Here is an 18,119-nt window from a genome sequence, read left to right as displayed (position 1 = left end):
AGCTCTCTGCTCCACTCCTGGCCCAGGCATAGTGCCAGGGCCTGACCTTCATGGGGCCTTGTGGCTCCTGGCAGGGACTGAGTAGATGGGGCCAGGACAGGCAGATGCCTGTGGCCTGTGTGTGTGACAGGCCCTGTGTGTGGGACCCATGGGGACAGACAGGCTCTCTGGGGTGAACTCCCACATCCTGAATAGATCTGAGCCTAGAGACCATCAGAGTGCCATCCTGGCACCTTCCCAGGCGTCACCGAACCCTCTGTGGGGCCGTGGATCCCGGCACCTTCCCAGGCGTCACCGAACCCTCTGTGGGGCCGTGGAACCCGGCACCTTCCCAGGCGTCACCGAACCCTCTGTGGGGCCGTGGATCCCGGCACCTTCCCAGGCGTCACCGAACCCTCTGTGGGGCCGTGGAACCCGGCACCTTCCCAGGCGTCACCGAACCCTCTGTGGGGCCGTGGAACCACACAGTTGAGGTGTGGCGATGCCAAAACCTCGACCTTGACCTTGGCTAGCTGCAGGGACAGCCTCAGGCCTGTGCGGGGACGCCTCACCATGGCTGGGGCTTTCTGGACTCTACTTCGGGCTTCTGTCTACCTTCTTGTCCTGTCCTTCTTCCCAGTGGTGACCCTGTGGGGCAGGGTACACAGCCCACCCCAACCAGGGAGGGTTTTCTCCCTTCCTCCTTCGTCTCCTGCCAACAGGGAGCGTGGGCCAGCCGAGAAGCCTTTCCGAGAAGCAGAGTGAGTGCGTTTTGGAAAGCAGGAGCCTACTGCATGCCGAGGGGCTTGTCCCCGAAGTCCTGGGTCTGCCCTGCACAGCTGCAGAGTTGAGCCCCTGCCTCCTAGTGGTTGCTGCACTCATGAACTGGAGCACCTAGCAGGGTCTGGGCCAGGCTCGGGGCCCCTGGGTGCGCCCCACCAGCTGGCTTCTCTGAGCCCTGGCTTTGAGGACACACGGGGCTGTGCCAGCTGCACGGAGGGAGAAGTGGCTGCTGGAGCCCCTGGGGATTCCTCCCCAGCTGCCACAGAAGACCCATCGCCCATTGTCTCTGCCCAGAGGCCTCTGCCAGCGGCGGGTCCCAGGCTGGGGGAGGTTGACAGCTGCTGCCTGCTGCTCCCCACCCAGGCAGCAGCTCCCAGCCAGAGAAAGAGCCGGGCTGGGACTCTGGGAGCCTCCAAAGGACAGGGTGGGCCTCGGGGCCTCAGAGCAGTTCCAGACGGCTGCAGGAGTGGGAGAAGCAGCAGTTTCTCAAGAAGAGCGAGAAGGCTTGGACCACAGCCTCCGCTTCCTCTTCTGGAGAAAAGCCACAGCTCAGCGATGCTGGCTGATAATTCTGCAGCCTCTGTCCCTGGAGCCTGCAGCAGAGGCTGGGAGTTTCGAACAGGTGACAGCAGGTGGCCCCTGAGGCTCTGGGTGGAAAGCGGGGTTGGGAGAAGAGGTTGGATAGTTCAGGGAAAGAGCTCAGATTCTTGATGCCACTGAACTTGTTGTCTGAACTGGAGCACTTTTGAGAATGAAAATAAACTGTGTTAATTATCACACCAGGACAATGGATGTAAACTGGGACTCCAGGGCAAATCGAGATGTGTGTTACCCTACTTACTACCACCTCCCAGCTGCGTGGATTTGGGCAAGTTACATAACCTCTCTGAATTCTGGTTTCTGCATAAAAAAGGCCAACATCATGTGCCTGCCTCCCAGGGCTGCGGGAGGGATGGAAGAAGTGAATTACCTGAGTTCCCAAAACAGCCCTTGGCATGGAGCCGGTGGGGTGAGGGGCTCTCCGTGCTTGTTCTTTTCCTCTGAGAGTAGTGGGTTCTCTGTCCCTGGAGGTGAGCAAGGGCCTGCCTGCCAGCGTTCTGTAGTGTGAGGGCCTCAGCAGGGCATATGTGCAGCTACAGAGCCAGATTCCAATCCTGCCTGTGCCCTCCAGAAGGATGGCAAGTGAGTGTGGGAGAGTCAGGCCTTCGTGTACCTAGGGGAGGATGGGCCCGTGATGGGTCCCAGGCTGGCACTCCTTGGTGGACTTGTGCCCTCTCCTATCCCAGGTGGTGGCGATTTGTGCCATGGAGGGCCACCAGCAGGGCCCAGCCCAGAGCAGCTTTGCTGTATCATGGACCGGTCTTTGGCTTCAAAGCCTTGGCATCAGTTCAGGGAAAGTTTGCCTGCTCCTGCCCTCCTGGGGTTGCGCTGGGCGAATGCAGAGCTTCCCTGGGGGTCTGAGAGGACTGGAAGATGAGCTGGAGGAAGGAGGCCGCTTGCATTTTCTGTGCCTGCTCCCGGGTCCTGAGAAACTGAGCAGAGCCTGTTCCAACCTAGAATGTTTTCAAGAGTTGGGTGTGGGGCCTGGCTCTGCCACCTGTGGTCATTTGAGCTTAGGCAAATCAGAGGTCTCTAGGCCTCAGGTTCCTTGCTGGGAGGCAGGGGTGGGTCAACCTATCATCTTCCCAGGACATGGGGAAGGGCTGTAGGTAGTGTGGGCCCCACATGGCTCTGCTCTCCACCTTCAGGCCCCATGCACGTTATTTTCATCTGTTCCCCCACAGCCCTGGGAGCTCCTGGAGGCACAGCCTGCGACCCTGAGGGATAAGCTCCATCTCCAGAAGGAACGAGTGGATGAGGTCAGAGCCCAGCAGTGACCTGTCTGTGCCAGAGTCCACCCCCACCACCAAGGCCAGAGCTGCTGCAGCAGGTGGAACGGACATGCCTCCTGCCAGATGCCTTGGCTGGATCAGCAACTCTCCAAGGTGGCCTCATGCTGGGGACATTACCCCAGGGGTATCAACTTCTGGCTACTTTGTCTCCTTTCCACTTCTCATGCACAGAGAAGGTTCTTCTGGCCAGAAGGATGACCTCTGAAAATGTCAGATCCGGAACGCATCCGTGCTAATGGCACTCAGCCCTCAGCAAACTCGCCTGGCCAGTCCCCCCCATTAAACACGGAGCCAAAAGCCCACAGGCGGCAGTTGGGGCTCACAGGCAGCCGAGGAGGCAGGAAGTCAGTGTGCTACCACAAGGGTGGGTCCTCAGGGTGGGTGCAGGGTCCCTCTCAGGACTGAGTCCCCAGGCAGAGGCCACACGGCTTCCCATCAACCCCCTCTTCACACCTTTGGCTTTGGCACAGGCAGGGTCTCCCCAGCTACACTCTCCTGAGTAACGTCACAGGTAACACCACACAAAGGGCAGGCCGAGGTGTGTGTTTTGTCTTATGCCACTTCCTCGCTGTGTGGCACCCAGACAAAGGTGACCTACAGCTGAGAAACGCATGTCTCCGAAAATGGGGCCACTGGAGTTCAGGCAAGAGAGGCCAAAATCCTACCAAAGATGCTGGGGCCAATTGGCCCATTATGGAGCATCCTGAAAAACGAGGCCACCACAATACCAAAGGACTACAGCAACTGCCACACACGTCCACCCAAACAATCTGCCAATCTTTCTCGCTGACCCCAAATACTGGGATATTATCCAGTGTTGATAATTTGTAGGCAAAAGAATGGTCTCACATGGTTTTATCATATTTTTATTCATGGAGATTGACCTTTTTCACATATTTGCAGAGCATGTATATTTCTTTTTTTTTTTTTTTTTTTGAGACGGAGTCTTGCTCTGTCACCCAGGCTGGAGTGCAGTGGCACGATCTCGGCTCACTGCAACCTCCGCCTCCTGGGTTCAAGCGATTCTCTTGCCTCAGCCTCCTGAGTAGCTGGGACTACAGGCGTGCCTGTACACCACGCCTGGCTAATTTTTGTATTTTTAGTAGAGACGGGGTTTCACCATGTTGGGCAGGCTGGTCTCAAACTCCTGACCTCGTGATCCACCTGCCTCGGCCTCCCAAAGTGCTGGGATCCCAGGCGTGAGCCACAGTGCCGGGCCATGAGCATGTGTATTTCTTCTTCTGAGACTAGCCTGTTCACATCCTTGGTCCACCTGCCCCCTGGGATGTTTCTGACTGGTTCACGGGTATTTGGTATGATGGATACTAATCCTTTGTAATATATTTTCTCCTCTTTTCCCCGTCATTTGTCTTTAAATTTTGTTTGTGTTGTCTTACACGAAAAGCTTTAGTTTCACAAGGGCCCACGCGTGGCTCTTCCTTTGGCTTCTGGGTTTCGTGTTATGCTCAGAAGCTCTTGCACTGAGATGATTCAGCTGCTGCCTCAGACGTTCTGAGAAACAACGGCCACAACACTTGCAGCGGCAGCAAAACATGCTTATTCAAAAGAAAATGTTTATTTTAAAAAGAAGAACTATCACCCCCCAGCATTTATTTAAATATTAATAGAGACGAGTAAAAACTTCAAATGGTATAACAAGAATAACAGCTTTATAGTCACAGATGGTCAGATGCTGACAAACAAGAAAGAGGGTCTATGTACATTGAGATTCGGTTGTTATGAGAATGCATATGAAGGCTTAAGAAACGGTCTATTTATAGGCTTCGGTGGAGCCATAATCCCCAATTTGCTATTGGCTCCTGATGTCGCTTGAGAAGTATGTGAGGCTGAACTGGATCCAATGATGCTGGAGGATTTCGTTTTGGAAGATATCTTTCTACATGTGGCAGACCCCCTGAAATGTGACAAAGAAAAAAATCAAAATGTTAAATGAAACCAAAAATGAATGACCTTCCTCTCAACCTGCACAGAGCTACAATACCACTTCCCTGGGCCTAATGTGTCCTTGTGCATTTTCTGCCTACGAGCCCCCTAGGTAAGGTAAGTTTCCTTTACTACTTATGGAATAAAGGACCGCGGCCCTTCATATAAATTTGTTCTGGATTTGTCTTTCTGAAATGTGCAGGACTGTTTCTTAATTTTCTGACTTGTGACCAACCCACCGCCCCTCTCTCCACCCACACCTTCGGCAGCCTACAACCAGAGCCTGCAAGAGGAGCTGAGGTCCACATGTCCTCATCTATTCTGACCAAATAAAAGAAGTGAAACACCTTGCTGTAAGGCCCCAGCTCCCTGCTGACAGGCACCCCGGAATGACTGGACTTGCACAGTCCAGAGCAAGGCAGCTGTGGGGTGAGCATGCATGGGGTGGAGCTGGGTGGCCAGGAGTGGCAAAGCTGGGCGTCTTCCTGGCCAGCCCCAGGAAGCCCCAGGAAGGCTGCAGATGCGGCCTTCTGTTAGGACCGTGTCCAGCAGCTCCCTGGCTCACCTGCCTACACCCAGAGATCTGCCAGCTCTCCCTCCCACTCGCTGCCTTCTAAAGCCAAGGAAGAAGCCGCCAGAGCCGATTACCAAGTCCTTCCAGCATCTCACTTTCCTTGCAGACCTTAAGATAACAGCTCCCTTCCCACCCTTAAGTAAAATAAAAACAAACAAAACCATGGGGCCGGCATGTTTACAGTGATGGCTGTGGGCAGCATTACCCGCAGAAGCCTTTCCTGCTGCTCTGTAACCGGCTGATGTCAGGCCCCACACTAATTCCACGGCACCAGGGCATACAAGTAGCCTCCCGTCTGAATTGAGGGTATAGGGCCACAGCCTGTGGGTAATGACATTCTGATGGAGCTCCATGACTTAAACTCTGGCTCCAAGGCAGTTTTACTGCAGAACTGGCAGAGATCTGCTAGACTGGCAGAGATGCAGCCTGAAGTTTCCCTATGCTGATTTCCTGCTGAGAAATTAAGCCCAGAGAGAAAACCTGCTGTTTATGTTGATTTACAGAATGAATCGGCCAACAGCAGCCTCCATTTCACCTGGGCCATCCATTTACTCCCACTCAGAGAGCCCAGAACACAACTGGTTCATTGTGTGTTGTTCTGAAGATGTGAAACTCTGAGGGTAGGGTGGGGAGGTGAGGTTGCTGGCAGAGAGCCACATTTATTCTTTCACTGCACAGGGACTCTCAATCCGGGGAGCACACTGGGTCGGTGGAAAGGAGAGTGGAGCAAAAAGAGGCTGCTCCAAGGGTAACACAAAGTCACACAGTGCACTGGCTTTAGCTGGTAGGGCTTAAAAAAGAATCCCATCTTGGCTGGGCACAGTGGCTCACGCCTGTCATCCCAGCACTTTGGGAGCCAAGGTGGGTAGATCACCTGGGGTCAGGAGTTCGAGACCAGCCTGGCCAACATGGTGAAACCCCATCTAAAAATACAAAAATTAGCCCAGCGTGGTGGCGTGCACCCATAATCCCAGCTACTTGGGAGGCTGAGGCAGGAGAATAGCTTGAACCCGGGAGGCAGAGGCTGCAGTGAGCCAAGATGGTGCCACTGCACTCCAGCCTGGGTGACAAGAGCAAAACTCCATAACGACAACAACAACAACAAATCCCATCTTAAACACCCAGGCTCACTGAAAACAAGCATGGAAATGGGTACAAGTGTGAGCTTTACTGCTTCTTATCAGATTAGGTTCCAGATGATGCTGCAAAGTGCTTCACTCTTACAAACAAAAGTTGTGAAAATTAAATAAGGGAGCCAATAGCAATATGGTTTGCTTTGTTCTAATACATAAAGATGAGATGGAAGACCATGCGTGTTTTTTAGGAGTCTCCACAGGCAACATGCAGAAGTGAACGTGCTCTGGGCAGGTGTGGGCAGGCCAGTGTCCGCTTCTACCTTTGAAATCGAGACCAGGCAGGGTTGTCCTCCGATAAGCCCTCCCCAGGCCAGGCCTAAGCTTCCTCTTCAAAAACCCTGGGTGTTGAGCCAGATGCCTTTTAAGGTCTCCGGCTCTGTGTGAGTTACTGAGGAAATGAGTATTTCCCAAAGTGGAGGAATAAATGATGGAAATAAGAAAATGTTCTCACTGAAGAGCACTTACTGATCACTTGCGCACTCAAAACCACAAAATTAAACTAACGTTTTCTAATGCCTTTAATTTCGGTACTCTGGCAGGAGGATTAGCACATACAAGATTTTGTTTATGGACTTAACAAGAAAATGACAATTTGGTAATGTCTGCCTTCCTTTCTCTTTCCCCACTCAGTTCTTGTTTTTTATTACTCAGAAGGACAAGAGGTAGAAAAACTGCAAAAGAAAACACAACAGCTTGCAAAAGTTGACTGTGGACTTTTTTTTGGTTTCTTTTTTCTGCAAGCAACTCTGTTACAATATACAGTTACTTTGGGGTCAAGTTCTCAAGACTGATGGAATGGTCTCCCTCCTGCCAGGCCTAACCTACTAGCCAGAAGGCAGAGGGTGCCCTGGCAGAAAATCAAAAAGCGGCTGTCAGAAACAATGCAATTATGAAGAAAGAAGGAAACTGCCAAGATCATCACACATATCAGACCATGCTGTCTTTGTTGTTCCCCTGGTGTGCAGAAAGCGCCCAGAACAGACATGTCCCAGACGAGCGGCCCAGGAAAACATGGGAAGGGGAAGACAGAAGCCATTTACGCAACCCCTAAAGAGGCCTGGCTTGACTGAACTTTTGGTTTCTCTGTTGTGGCTTCTTCTTGCTACCCCTGCAAAGGCTGGGAGGTCGATTCTCCCAGGTGTTAATGAAAGGCAGGGAGTGTGCACGTGCTTCAAGGTGGAGATCCATGGGATTCTGCAGCAATAAAAGCAGCGGAGCAAGTACTGACAGAATAGTAAAAGCCACGAGGACACAAAACCCTTTGTTATTTATTCAGCTAGTGTATGATTTATAGTATTGTAGGTGGAAAAGTCTCTTAAGAAGAACAATCATCCCAAACAGGCAAACAAATATCTAAGGGAAGATCAACATGGAAGACATCTTTGCAAACAAGAAACATTAGTCAGGCTGAGTGCGGTGGCTCACGTCTGTAATCCAGCACTTTGGGGAGACCAAAGTGGGCTGATCACTTGAGCTCAGGAGTTTGAGACCAGCCTGGGCAACATGGGGAAACTCCATCTGTACAAAAAATACAAAAATTAGCCAGGAGTGATGGTATACACCTGGAGTCCCAGCTACTCAGGAGGCTGAGGTGGGAGGATCACTTGAGTACAGGAGGCAGAGGTTGCAGTGAGCCGAGATTGTGCCACTGCACTCTAGCCTGGGCAACAGAGTCAGACTTTGTCCTCAAATTAAAAAAAGAAAGAAAACTTTAGTCATAACTATTAGTCAGTAGATGTTTTAAACATCTGAAGCAAATATTTTTTGTTGTTTCTTGAAGCAAATATTTTTGTTTTGGATCAAACCTTAATTGTCACTCCATTAACAACTGTCATTCCATTAGCAATATTTAATAATGGCTTATTTTAATAAATCCTTCAAAGCAAGGCAGAGCTGTTGCACTTTTGTCCTTTCTTCCCTTGTTCCCTATATTGAAAAAGATGTCACAAAACATACCCCTTTGCCTTGGAACCACTGGAAGCAGTTTTTCTCCTCTTAGACCTTTGGGAGGCTGGCATCTTTTTCCTCTTCCTTTCATTTCTGGTTTTACTTGCAAAGTAGTGGGAAGATACGGGTATTTCCTCGTCGAGCTCCTCAGCGGCACTTCTTCCGGGGCCTCTGCTGCTGGACAGGCTTATCCCTGGGGAACTGTCTTCAGCTACAAATGGAAAATGCAGATGTTTACAGGTGATGTCGCACTGGTCCACGTGTTTTTAGTGTATATGAAGAGACACGCTGCAGGGGCCCATTTTAGCAGATACCTAGCTGCTTCCCTGCCATATGGATTCAACAATTCAGCAAGAACCAAACCTTTTTTTACTGCACAAAGCCCCAAAGTGTTCAATGGCAATTCATTTTTAACAAAAGAGAATCAGAATTCATTAAAAAAATTTGTGATAGTCTTGAAGTTAACTAGAGACATGAGGTTTAGCTCATACTGTCGCATATGGCCTGTGTTCCTGTTGTTGATTGGGCAGTTAGTTCTGGTAGGCAATTCAAAAAGTATCAACTGCTATAAAGATGGCAGGCAATTTTACTTATTTTAAATGTGCTGAAAAAATCAGCTCAATATAAGGGAAACAAACGGTCCTGTATCTCATCTTTGAACAATAGTTTCTTAGTAAATGAACATAAGAAAATTCTAGATCCTATTTTACTCTTTACAGACAAAAAAACTTGTCTTTGCACAATATGGCTGAACATGTCACATATTATGCGGGAGGTGAGACCGCATGAAAGCACACATTTGCAAAGAAGATGGTAATTTCCATAAGTATTTGCATCCCAAGGCACCCAAAAAGCATGAAACCTCCCTATAGATAGCTCACACGGGGACCCAGTCTCCATTTCCTGGCTGGTCTGCCTTGTCCTACAGGCCACCCTACAGGAGCAGCATGGAGGGCACAGGACTCCACCATGGCTGCTCCAACCCTGGCTCACTGTCAAAATGTATTCGGAACAAGGCTTTTAATGGACTAATTACCATATAGAAGAATTTAGGAGAACCTGACCAGGTGTGGTGGCTCATGCCTGTAACCCCAGCACTTCAGGAGGCTGAGGCAGGTGGATCACTTGAGGTCGTAAGTTCAAGACCAGCCTGGCCAACATAGTGAAACCCCAACTCTACCAAAAAAATACAAAAATAAGTCAGGTGTGGTGGTGCATGCCTGTAGTCTCAGCTACTGGGGAGGCTGAGGTGGGATAATTGCTTGAATCTGGGAGGCATAGTGAGCCAAGATTGTGCCACTGAACTCCAGCCTGGAGTGAGACTCTGTCAAAAAAAAAAAAAGCGACTAGGTAAAGAGAGAACTTGAACTATCTCATCCTGCTCATCATTTCCATCATCCTTGGGAAGACCCCCACACTGCCTGTCTGGAAGCAGGAAGAACACTGAACCGGGCCTGTCTGTTGTGTCCTATTACGTGGTGATGTTATCAGAGGGCAGAAGACTTCTGTGCTCTCAATATTTCCTACAACAAAATGCTTTGTTGTTCTCATTTCCCCCAGGTCAATGATTTCTAAAGCTGTAATGATGATGAAGCTCATGATTAGAAGTGCCACAGGACAGGCCTAACGTGACTCCGGGAACGTCTGATAATGATGCACTCAGGCAGGTTCTATCAATGACTAACAATAATAACATTCTAGCTGCATGCTCATTTCTCCAAAACATTTAAACACTAGTCTTAAATTTTATCTTTAGACATGTTTGTCAGATAACATGTTCCTTCCTTGGTGGAGGAACCTGATTCACAAAGAGGCTATTGGTGGCCTGCTAGAGACCACACAGCATGACGTGGTGGCAGATCTGGAACTGGTACCCAGGGCTCTGATCCCTTGAGCACTTGCATTACGGGAACCAGCAACCCCTGGGCCCAAAGGTCCCCTTTTGGATCCTATGAGTAAGTTCAGAACTGGCACTCACAGGGGGCATAAGCACTAGTGTCCTCTCAGAGGTGACTGGCACACCACTGGGGGCTGACTTGGATGTCAGTGTGACGAGGTGTAGGAAGCATTCACACAACTGCATCCTTCTAATTCAGTGAGACGCGTCGCTTCACATTAAACAGGCTTTTAGAGAACACACATGGCTGTGTACTAACCTGGCGATGTCCATTCAGAGTATTTCTGTAATACTGAAATCACTTCCGCACCATATTTTTCCAGTTTGTCTTCAGTAACACCATCAATTTGAAGCAAAACCTCAGGATCAGAAGATAAAGATTCTGTGCAAAGGCATAAAATTAGGAATTTAAATTATCACCCATAGAAAACCCACTGAATTCAGGCTCATTCACGCATTCAGCACACGTCTGCTAAGTGCCAACTAACTGCAGGGTACTGGGAACACAGGCCAATTTTGTAAAAGGCAAAGTTAGCACCTCAGAGGCAGCAGACAGGCACAGAGGGCAGGAACCCACCATCCAATTCCAGCGGCATAGGCCAGGGCAGAGCAAGGGCAAGAGCCAGGGCAGGAGGAAGCTGAGGGTGGGACCTGTGCCATGTGCGTGGAGTGGAGCAGATCTGCTCTTGCCCACTGTTCCCATGGCCAGTACTCATCTAGCTGAGACTGGTGTGCCCTCTCTTTACTGAGAACGCTGCATTTCTATTTCCAGCTCCAGCCTCTTCTCTGCACTCCAGACTTGTACACCCCACCCTAGACGGCATAACCAAATTGTTACTTCCTCCAGCACAAACTTTTCTTCCTCCACTCTTTCCCCATGTGGGTTGAGGCAACAAGCAGCCAGCTGAGTCCTCTGCATAGAGGTCGCATATCAGTCTTGCAGCTAGACAAGCCTGTCATTTAAAGGCCACCCTGGCTGCTGTTTAAGAACTTGACTGTAAAGGAAAGAGTAGAATCCGGGAGCCTGGTGGAAGCCATTGCAGGAGCGAGTGAGGATGGAGTGAACTGGAATGCAGTAGTGGAGACACAGTGAAGCAAGCTTGGGTGAGTTTTGGAGGCTGGCTCTGTAGGACTGACTGATGCACTGGCTCTGGGTAGTGAGGGAGTAACCATTCCTATGTATTTGAGCTGAGCAAAGAGTGGATTTCAAATCCTTTCCCATCTGTGATTTTCACATCATTCCCATGTTTAGAGGAAAAGCAAGAGACTGTGGACAGAACAGAAGGTTTATGAAGGGGGTTTAATGAAAGATAAAGTAGGAGAGGCAGGAAGAAATGTAGACCCTTGATAAAATGTATACTTTATCTGGGAAGCTGTTGTAGTTTTACTAGGTTTTGAAAGATTAAAATGTACATCACATTCACAGCTGGAGGTAAGGAGGACAGTTAAGAAACTACACTAATCGCCTAGAAATAACATATCATAAAATACCAAATTTCATCAATTCTAAGACACACACCTTTTCACAATTTAGCATTCCTGAGGTCAAGATATGTCTTAGAACTGCTGATGGCTAAATGGCAGCTGCCTTGCGGTTGTTACTGCTCATGCTTGTGAGAACTTAGTCATAGCTATTAGTACTGTCAGCATGTCAACAAAGTCACTGCACTGTTTGTACCTCATGTATTGAGTCTAACTGCCATGACATGTCTTCAAAAAGACTATACTGTGATTAGCATTAAAAAAGTGATTGTGAATGCAGAAAAGTTCTGAAACAGAGTAGCAGGGAATACATTTGGTATTAAGAAAAGCACTATCTGGCTGAGCGTGGTAGCTCATGCCTGTAATCCCAATACTTTGGGAGGCTGAGACAGGGCGGATTGCTTCAGCCTAAGAGTATGAGACCAGTCTGGGTAACAGTGAGGCCCTGTCTCTGCAAAAAAATAAAAAAGCTAGCCAAGCATGGTGGTACATGCCTGTAGTTCCAGCTACTCAGGAAGCTGGGGTAGGAGGATCACTTGAGCCCAGGAGGTCTAGGCTGCAGTGAGCTGTGTTCAACCACTGCACCCAGCCTGGGCGACAGAATAAGATCTTATCTCCAAAAAAACAAAACAAAGCAAAACAAAAAAAACCCAGGCACTATTTGTCTCTGAGGACACAGGCCCCCAATTCCATAGTTTCTCGCAAGTACAACCAAGTGCTTTACGTGACCTAAGAAAGAAGATGCCCAAAGTAGATGAGGCCGCACTACATTTTTGTTACTGAGAGATGTACAACCTTCTGTTGACACCTTCTGGTATCATCAAGAAACCACCACCTTCAAAACAGAACTGATAACAGAGATTTCGATTAAATCCTGGGGAAAATAGTGGAACACTCTGGAAATGCCTTATGGCTAATGAGAATGTTAGTGATGACATAGGGAAAAACAAAGACATGGACGACTCAGTCAAAAAGTGACTCAGAAGAGTCAGGCTTTGAATGTGAACTTTTATAAGTACCTACGGTAATTTGATTATATGTATTTTTCATACAGGCACACAGCTGTGGATAATAAAAATCAATGTCTAAATCAGTAAAACACAATTTTTTCAATAAAAGCACTGTGTCATAGTTTAATTAGCAGAATTTTTTCTTCCTTAATAGTCCATAAAGTAACAGTATCTTAATATAGTTGGCATCTTAGAGTCAGTGAAATATTGTAATGACCGATTATCGTAGGAGAGGGAATGAAGAAGAGAGAAGGTGATGATTATGAGATTTTATGAAGAAGAATATGGAAGGTAATATAGCCCAGCTGGCCAACTATATGAAGACGTTGTTTTCCAGGAACTCTACTACTGAAATTCTGGGTTGGGCTATCTGCCCATGGAAATAACTCAGACCAGTAAGTATTTATTAACTAAAGACATAGCAGTGTGCTAGATCCAGATTCAAAGAAGCATAAAACATAATCTCTTCATAAGGAAACTAGCTCTTCATTGCAGACTTTTTTTTTTTTTTTTTTTGAGATGGAGTCTCGCTCTGTCGCCCAGGCTGGAGGGCAGTGGCACGATCTTGGCTCACTGCAACCTCCACCTCCTGGGTTCAACCAATTCTCCTGCCTCAGGTTCCCAAGTAGCCGGGATTACAAGCGCCCGCCACCACGCCTGGCTAATTTTTGTATTCTTAGTAGAGACGGGGTTTTACCATGTTGGCCAGGCTAGTCTCGAACTCCTGACCTCAGGCAATCCGTCCACCTCAGCCTCCCAAAGTGCAGGGATTACAGGCGTGAGCCACGGCCCCCAGCCCATTACAATATTACAATTGGTCATTACAATATTTCATTGGATCTAAGATGCCAACTATATTAAGATACTGTTATTTTATGGACTATTAAGGAAGAAAAAATTCTGCTAATTAAACTATGACACAGTGCTTTTATTGAAAGAATTTTTTTTACTGATTTGGACATTGATTTTTATTATCCACAGCTCTGTGCCTATATGAAAAATACATATAATCAAAGTAAATGGTGGGCGCATGCCTGTAATCCCAGCTACTCGGGAGGTTGAGGCAGGAGAATCGTTTGAACCCAGGAGGCGGAGGTTGCAGATATTTGTACATAACACAGCTAAACACTACAAAGCAGGCAAATAATCAGCACAAATAATGAAGTAATGTCTCGTTTTAGAAATTACAATAATCCGGCCGGATGCGGTGGCTCATGCCTGTAATCCCAGCACTTTGGGAGGCTGAGGCAGGGGGATAACCTGAGGTCAGGAGTTCGAGACTAGCCTGGCCAACATGGTGAAACCCTGCCTCGCGGGTTCAAGTGATTCTCCTGCCTCAGTCTCCCAAGTAGCTGGGATTACAGGCACCCACCACCACACCTGGCTGATTTTTTGTATTTTTAGTAGAGACGGGTTTTGCCATCTTGGGCAGGCTGGTCTTGAACTCCTGACCTCATGATCCACCTGCCTTGGCCTCCCAAAGTGCTGTGATTACAGGCGTGAGCCACCGTGTCCGGCCAGATCATTGTAATTTCTAAAACCAGACATCACTTCATTATTTGTGCCGATTATTTGCCTGCCTTATAGTGTTTAGCTGTGTTATATACAAATATCTGCAACTTCTGCCTCCTGGGTTCAGGCTACTTTCCTGCCTCAACCTCCCGAGTAGCTGGGATTACAGGCATGCACCCACCATTTACTTTGATTATATGTATTTTTCATATAGGCACAGAGCTATAATTAAAATTATACCATATATAACATACATAGGGTACCATTATACCATATATAACAAAGTACTATATATATGTTAAAGAACATATTTTATCTTAAGAATGAGTTTAATATTCAATGGTCTTCAGATGTCCTTAAAAAAAAAAGAATAAGTTTCGGCCGCGCATGGTGGCTCACGCCTATAATCCCAGCACTTTGGGAGGCCGAGGTGGGTGGATCACCTGAGGTTGGGAGTTTGAGACCAGCCTGACCAACGTGGAGAAACCCTGTCTCTACTAAAAATACACAATTAGCCGGGCGTGGTGGCACATGCCTGTAATCCCAGCTACTTGGGAGGCTGAGGCAGAAGAATCGCTTGAACCTGGGAGGCGGAGGTTGTGATGAGCTGAGATCGCGCCACTGCACTCCAGCCTGGGCAATAAGAGTGAAACTCCGTCTCAAAAACAAACAAAAAAAGAATAAGTTTCAATTGTTTCTCTGAGATTTTAATCCAGAGATTAAATAAAAATAATTAAAACAACTGAGGCCAGGCTCAGTGGCTCATGCTTATCTGTAATCCCAGCACTCTGGCAGGCTAAGGCAGGAGGATTGCTTGAAGCCAAGAGTTCGAGACCAGACTGGGCAACATGGTGAAACTCTGTCTCTACGAAAAAATACAAAAATTAGCTGGGCATGCTGGTGTGTACCTGTAGTCCCAGCTACTTGGGAAATTGAGGTGGGAAGATCACTTGAGCCCAGGAGGTTGAGGCTGCAGTGAGTCATGATCATGCCACAGCACTCCAGCCCGGGTGACACAGCGAGACCCCGTCTCAAAACAAACCCCAAAAAGAAACAAACCACTGAGATATATTTATCACTTAAGGAGTTCCCTAGCAAGATTAACTTTCGGCCTATTAATCTGTGCCACGTAACAAAGGATACATGTGTACCCACCTGCAAGCTTCTTGAGAGTGACGGTATTAAAAATATTGAAGTAATGGACACCAAAAACTTTCCCCAGAGATTTGCAGACTTCTGTAAGTTCTCCAAGACATTTTTTAACCATCTCTTCCCTCTGAGACACTTTTGCTACTAACGCTTTTTGTTTTTTCACACTGCTGGAATTTTCTGTTTCCATAAAGTCTACCTTTATGAGAGAGAAACAAATCATAGGAGTGGGTATATGTGCACTTGTACCCATACAGGGGCTTTATTTAATGCTTAATTGCATTTTTGGGGGGCAATTCTATTCTGTCATGCAGATAGTGAGCCCACTGGGAACAGGGGCTGTGCATTCTCCATCTTTGTATCTCCAGTGTCAAGCATAGAATAGCCTCTTGATAAATGCTTCTTTAATGAATATATAAAGATTTAGTGACCTGATAACCCATTAAATTACTTTTGACAGGTGTCATATTACTTGGGTTGAATTTTAAGATCTCTTTCCAATTTAAGAAAAACAGAATATGTTCGTATAGAACAGTATATATAAATTCAGTATCTATAAGCTTGGACAAAGACACTATACTTCACAATAATATATTTTGGTTCACTCATTGTGAGATAATAAAATAAACATGAAAAATACTATACCTTTAAATTGCCATTTAGTACAGTTTGGGCTTTATTTCCGAGCATCACATAAGCGATCGCCTGGTCATTGGCATTGATATATAAGTCTTCATCCAAAATCTTGTCAAGTATCAGCTTTTTAAAAAGTCTTTCGGCATTGTGTCGTGAATAAGCAGATCCTTTTCCAAATATACCTGACTGGATTTTTGCACTCTTACTCCCTGATAAGAAGATACAGGAAGTAAGATGAGTAAATGTACGTATATCATCACCCTCAAATAGAAGAGGCTAAAAAGTCATTTATGGACAGGTTTGGACAGATGGAATAGATCACAAACCCCGGCACAGACACTCATTTCTGTTAAATGAGAGTATTTGAGTAGAACGCTAAAATTTCTATGGTTGTATGTACTTTTCCTTATCTTTTTACAATACACATGGACAAAAAACAGCAGCAAAATTATATTGGAGCAAATAAATCAAAGAAAGAGTTTACATAAACCATAATAGCTTCCTATCACTGTGCTATGTATTAGGATAACTGTGCATTACTTATCTACATTTTTTTTTTTTTTTTTAGAGACAGGGTCTCACTCTATTGTGGAGGTTGGAGTGCAGTGGTGCAATCATGGTTCACTGCAGCCTCAAACTCCTGGGCTCAAGTGATCCTCCTGCCTCAGCCTCCTGACTAGCTGAGATAACAGGTGCAGGCCATCACACCCACCTAATTTAAAAATTTTAAATATTTAAGTGCATCTAGTATTTATTAATTTTTAAATTTTTGTGGGTACATAGTAGGTGTATATATTTGTGTAGTACATGAGATATTTTGATACAGGCATACAGTGTGAAGTAAGCACATCATGGAGAATGGGCCATCCATTCCCTCAGGTATTTATCCATTGAGTTGCAAACAATCCAATGACACTCTTTACATTATTTTATAATATTTAATTTTTTTGTAGAGACGAGGGTCTCACTACATTGCTCAGGCTGGTCTCTAACTCCTGGCCTCAAGCAGTCCTCCCACCCTGGCTTCTCACAGTATTGGGATTACAGGCATGAGCCACTGAGCCTGGCTACAAACAATTTTTGACAGTCAGTTTTCTAAATATGATCCCTGGCCCTGGTTATCAAAACTGCTACTAGTTTATAATCCAAGTATTTAAGTCTATTCTTTTTGTCACCCTCACTAATGAAGCCTATTCAAATTCTAAAAGAAAAGCACAACACCCTATAAGATGCTCAAGGGGAGAGATGAAGACAGGAATATGTACACACACTTCCCTCTTTCTCTTACTAGCCGAGAGCCACAGTTGGCTGGATCCTTTGTTTCATTCATAAGCTGCTGTGACTGCTAATGTCTTCATTATAAACACAACTTTATTGTAACAATCTACTTAAGAGACCTTGTGACATTTATAAAAATCAGAATTAATGGTTATTACGTAAAGCTTTAGCTCTGTTTTAAAGAGTTCCAAATAATTATATTATTGTCCATTTCAAATGGCTTCTGGCCATATATCCTGAATTATTCAAAATTTTCTTTAAGTAATTTGTATCCCTGAAAGGCCACATTATAGAAACAGAACTACCGTTCTGCTAATGATAGGCTGAATGGTATGGACCAACCTTACTGCTGAGGACAACTACGAAAGCTGGCTGAAATACAATTTTTTTTTTTTGAGTCAGGGTCTTGCTCTGTTGCCCAGGCTGGGGGTGCAGTGGCGGGATCACAGCTCACTGCCACCTCGATCTCATGGGCGCAGGTGATCCTCCCACATCAGCCTCTGGAGTAGCTGGCACTACAGGTGCGTGCTACCATGCCTGATTAATTTTTGTATTTTTGGTAGAGACAGGGTTTCGCCAGGTTGCTCAGGCTGATCTTGAACTCCTGGGCTCAAGCAATCCGTCTGTCTTGGCCTCCCAAAGTGCTGGAATTACAGACATGGGCCACTGTACCCAGACAGAAAGGTTTATAATTAAAAGCAACATTCCCCTGACTCATCCTTCCCTTCCCCAAGGGAATCGCTTTTTAAACAGTTTTTGTTTTCAGCTCTTCAGGTGGCTACCTACACACAGAAGGACCTGAAATCTTGCCTTCTGTCCAAAAGCCTGACATTTATCTATTGTCCTTGCCCCTTTATTATGAAAGATGAGGTTTTATCTCATTCATACCACCCCCACTTT

The 18,119-nt window shown here is 46.7% G+C and overlaps 1 protein-coding gene across 6 annotated transcripts in view, besides 3 other annotated features; it reads right to left on the bottom strand.

The window, feature by feature from the left end:
• Window positions 1,609-2,438: an enhancer, noted in NCBI's record as "H3K4me1 hESC enhancer chr15:91360463-91361292 (GRCh37/hg19 assembly coordinates)". NCBI's record gives its function as "activates a minimal SCP1, AML or CMV promoter by ChIP-STARR-seq in naive H9 embryonic stem cells {active_cell/tissue: H9 hESC(naive)}" and the evidence as "EXISTENCE:reporter gene assay evidence [ECO:0000049][PMID:30033119]".
• Window positions 2,439-3,270: an enhancer, noted in NCBI's record as "H3K4me1 hESC enhancer chr15:91359631-91360462 (GRCh37/hg19 assembly coordinates)". NCBI's record gives its function as "activates a minimal SCP1, AML or CMV promoter by ChIP-STARR-seq in naive H9 embryonic stem cells {active_cell/tissue: H9 hESC(naive)}" and the evidence as "EXISTENCE:reporter gene assay evidence [ECO:0000049][PMID:30033119]".
• BLM (BLM RecQ like helicase) overlaps window positions 3,505-18,119 on the bottom strand; it is a 98,821-nt gene continuing 84,206 nt past the window's right edge. For 5 of the 6 annotated variants that reach the window (NM_001287246.2, NM_001287248.2, NM_000057.4 and 2 more), the window contains 5 exons: window positions 15,951-16,150; window positions 15,312-15,504; window positions 10,412-10,534; window positions 8,265-8,466; window positions 3,505-4,569 (listed from right to left, as the gene is read on the bottom strand). In NM_001287246.2, the coding sequence (NP_001274175.1) occupies window positions 4,392-4,569; window positions 8,265-8,466; window positions 10,412-10,534; window positions 15,312-15,504; window positions 15,951-16,150 (896 nt within the window). In that variant the 3' untranslated portion in view covers window positions 3,505-4,391. The remainder of the gene's footprint in view (window positions 4,570-8,264; window positions 8,467-10,411; window positions 10,535-15,311; window positions 15,505-15,950; window positions 16,151-18,119) is intronic. The other variant, NM_001287247.2, reaches the window with a different exon arrangement.
• Window positions 4,885-4,994: a silencer, noted in NCBI's record as "silent region_6827". NCBI's record gives its function as "represses an Ori minimal core promoter by ATAC-STARR-seq in GM12878 lymphoblastoid cells {active_cell/tissue: GM12878}" and the evidence as "EXISTENCE:reporter gene assay evidence [ECO:0000049][PMID:35858748]".

The sequence above is a fragment of the Homo sapiens genome, chromosome 15 (genome assembly GCF_000001405.40).
Source record: "Homo sapiens chromosome 15, GRCh38.p14 Primary Assembly".
NCBI lineage: Eukaryota > Metazoa > Chordata > Mammalia > Primates > Hominidae > Homo > Homo sapiens.
This window is presented reverse-complemented; position numbering and strand designations above follow the sequence as displayed.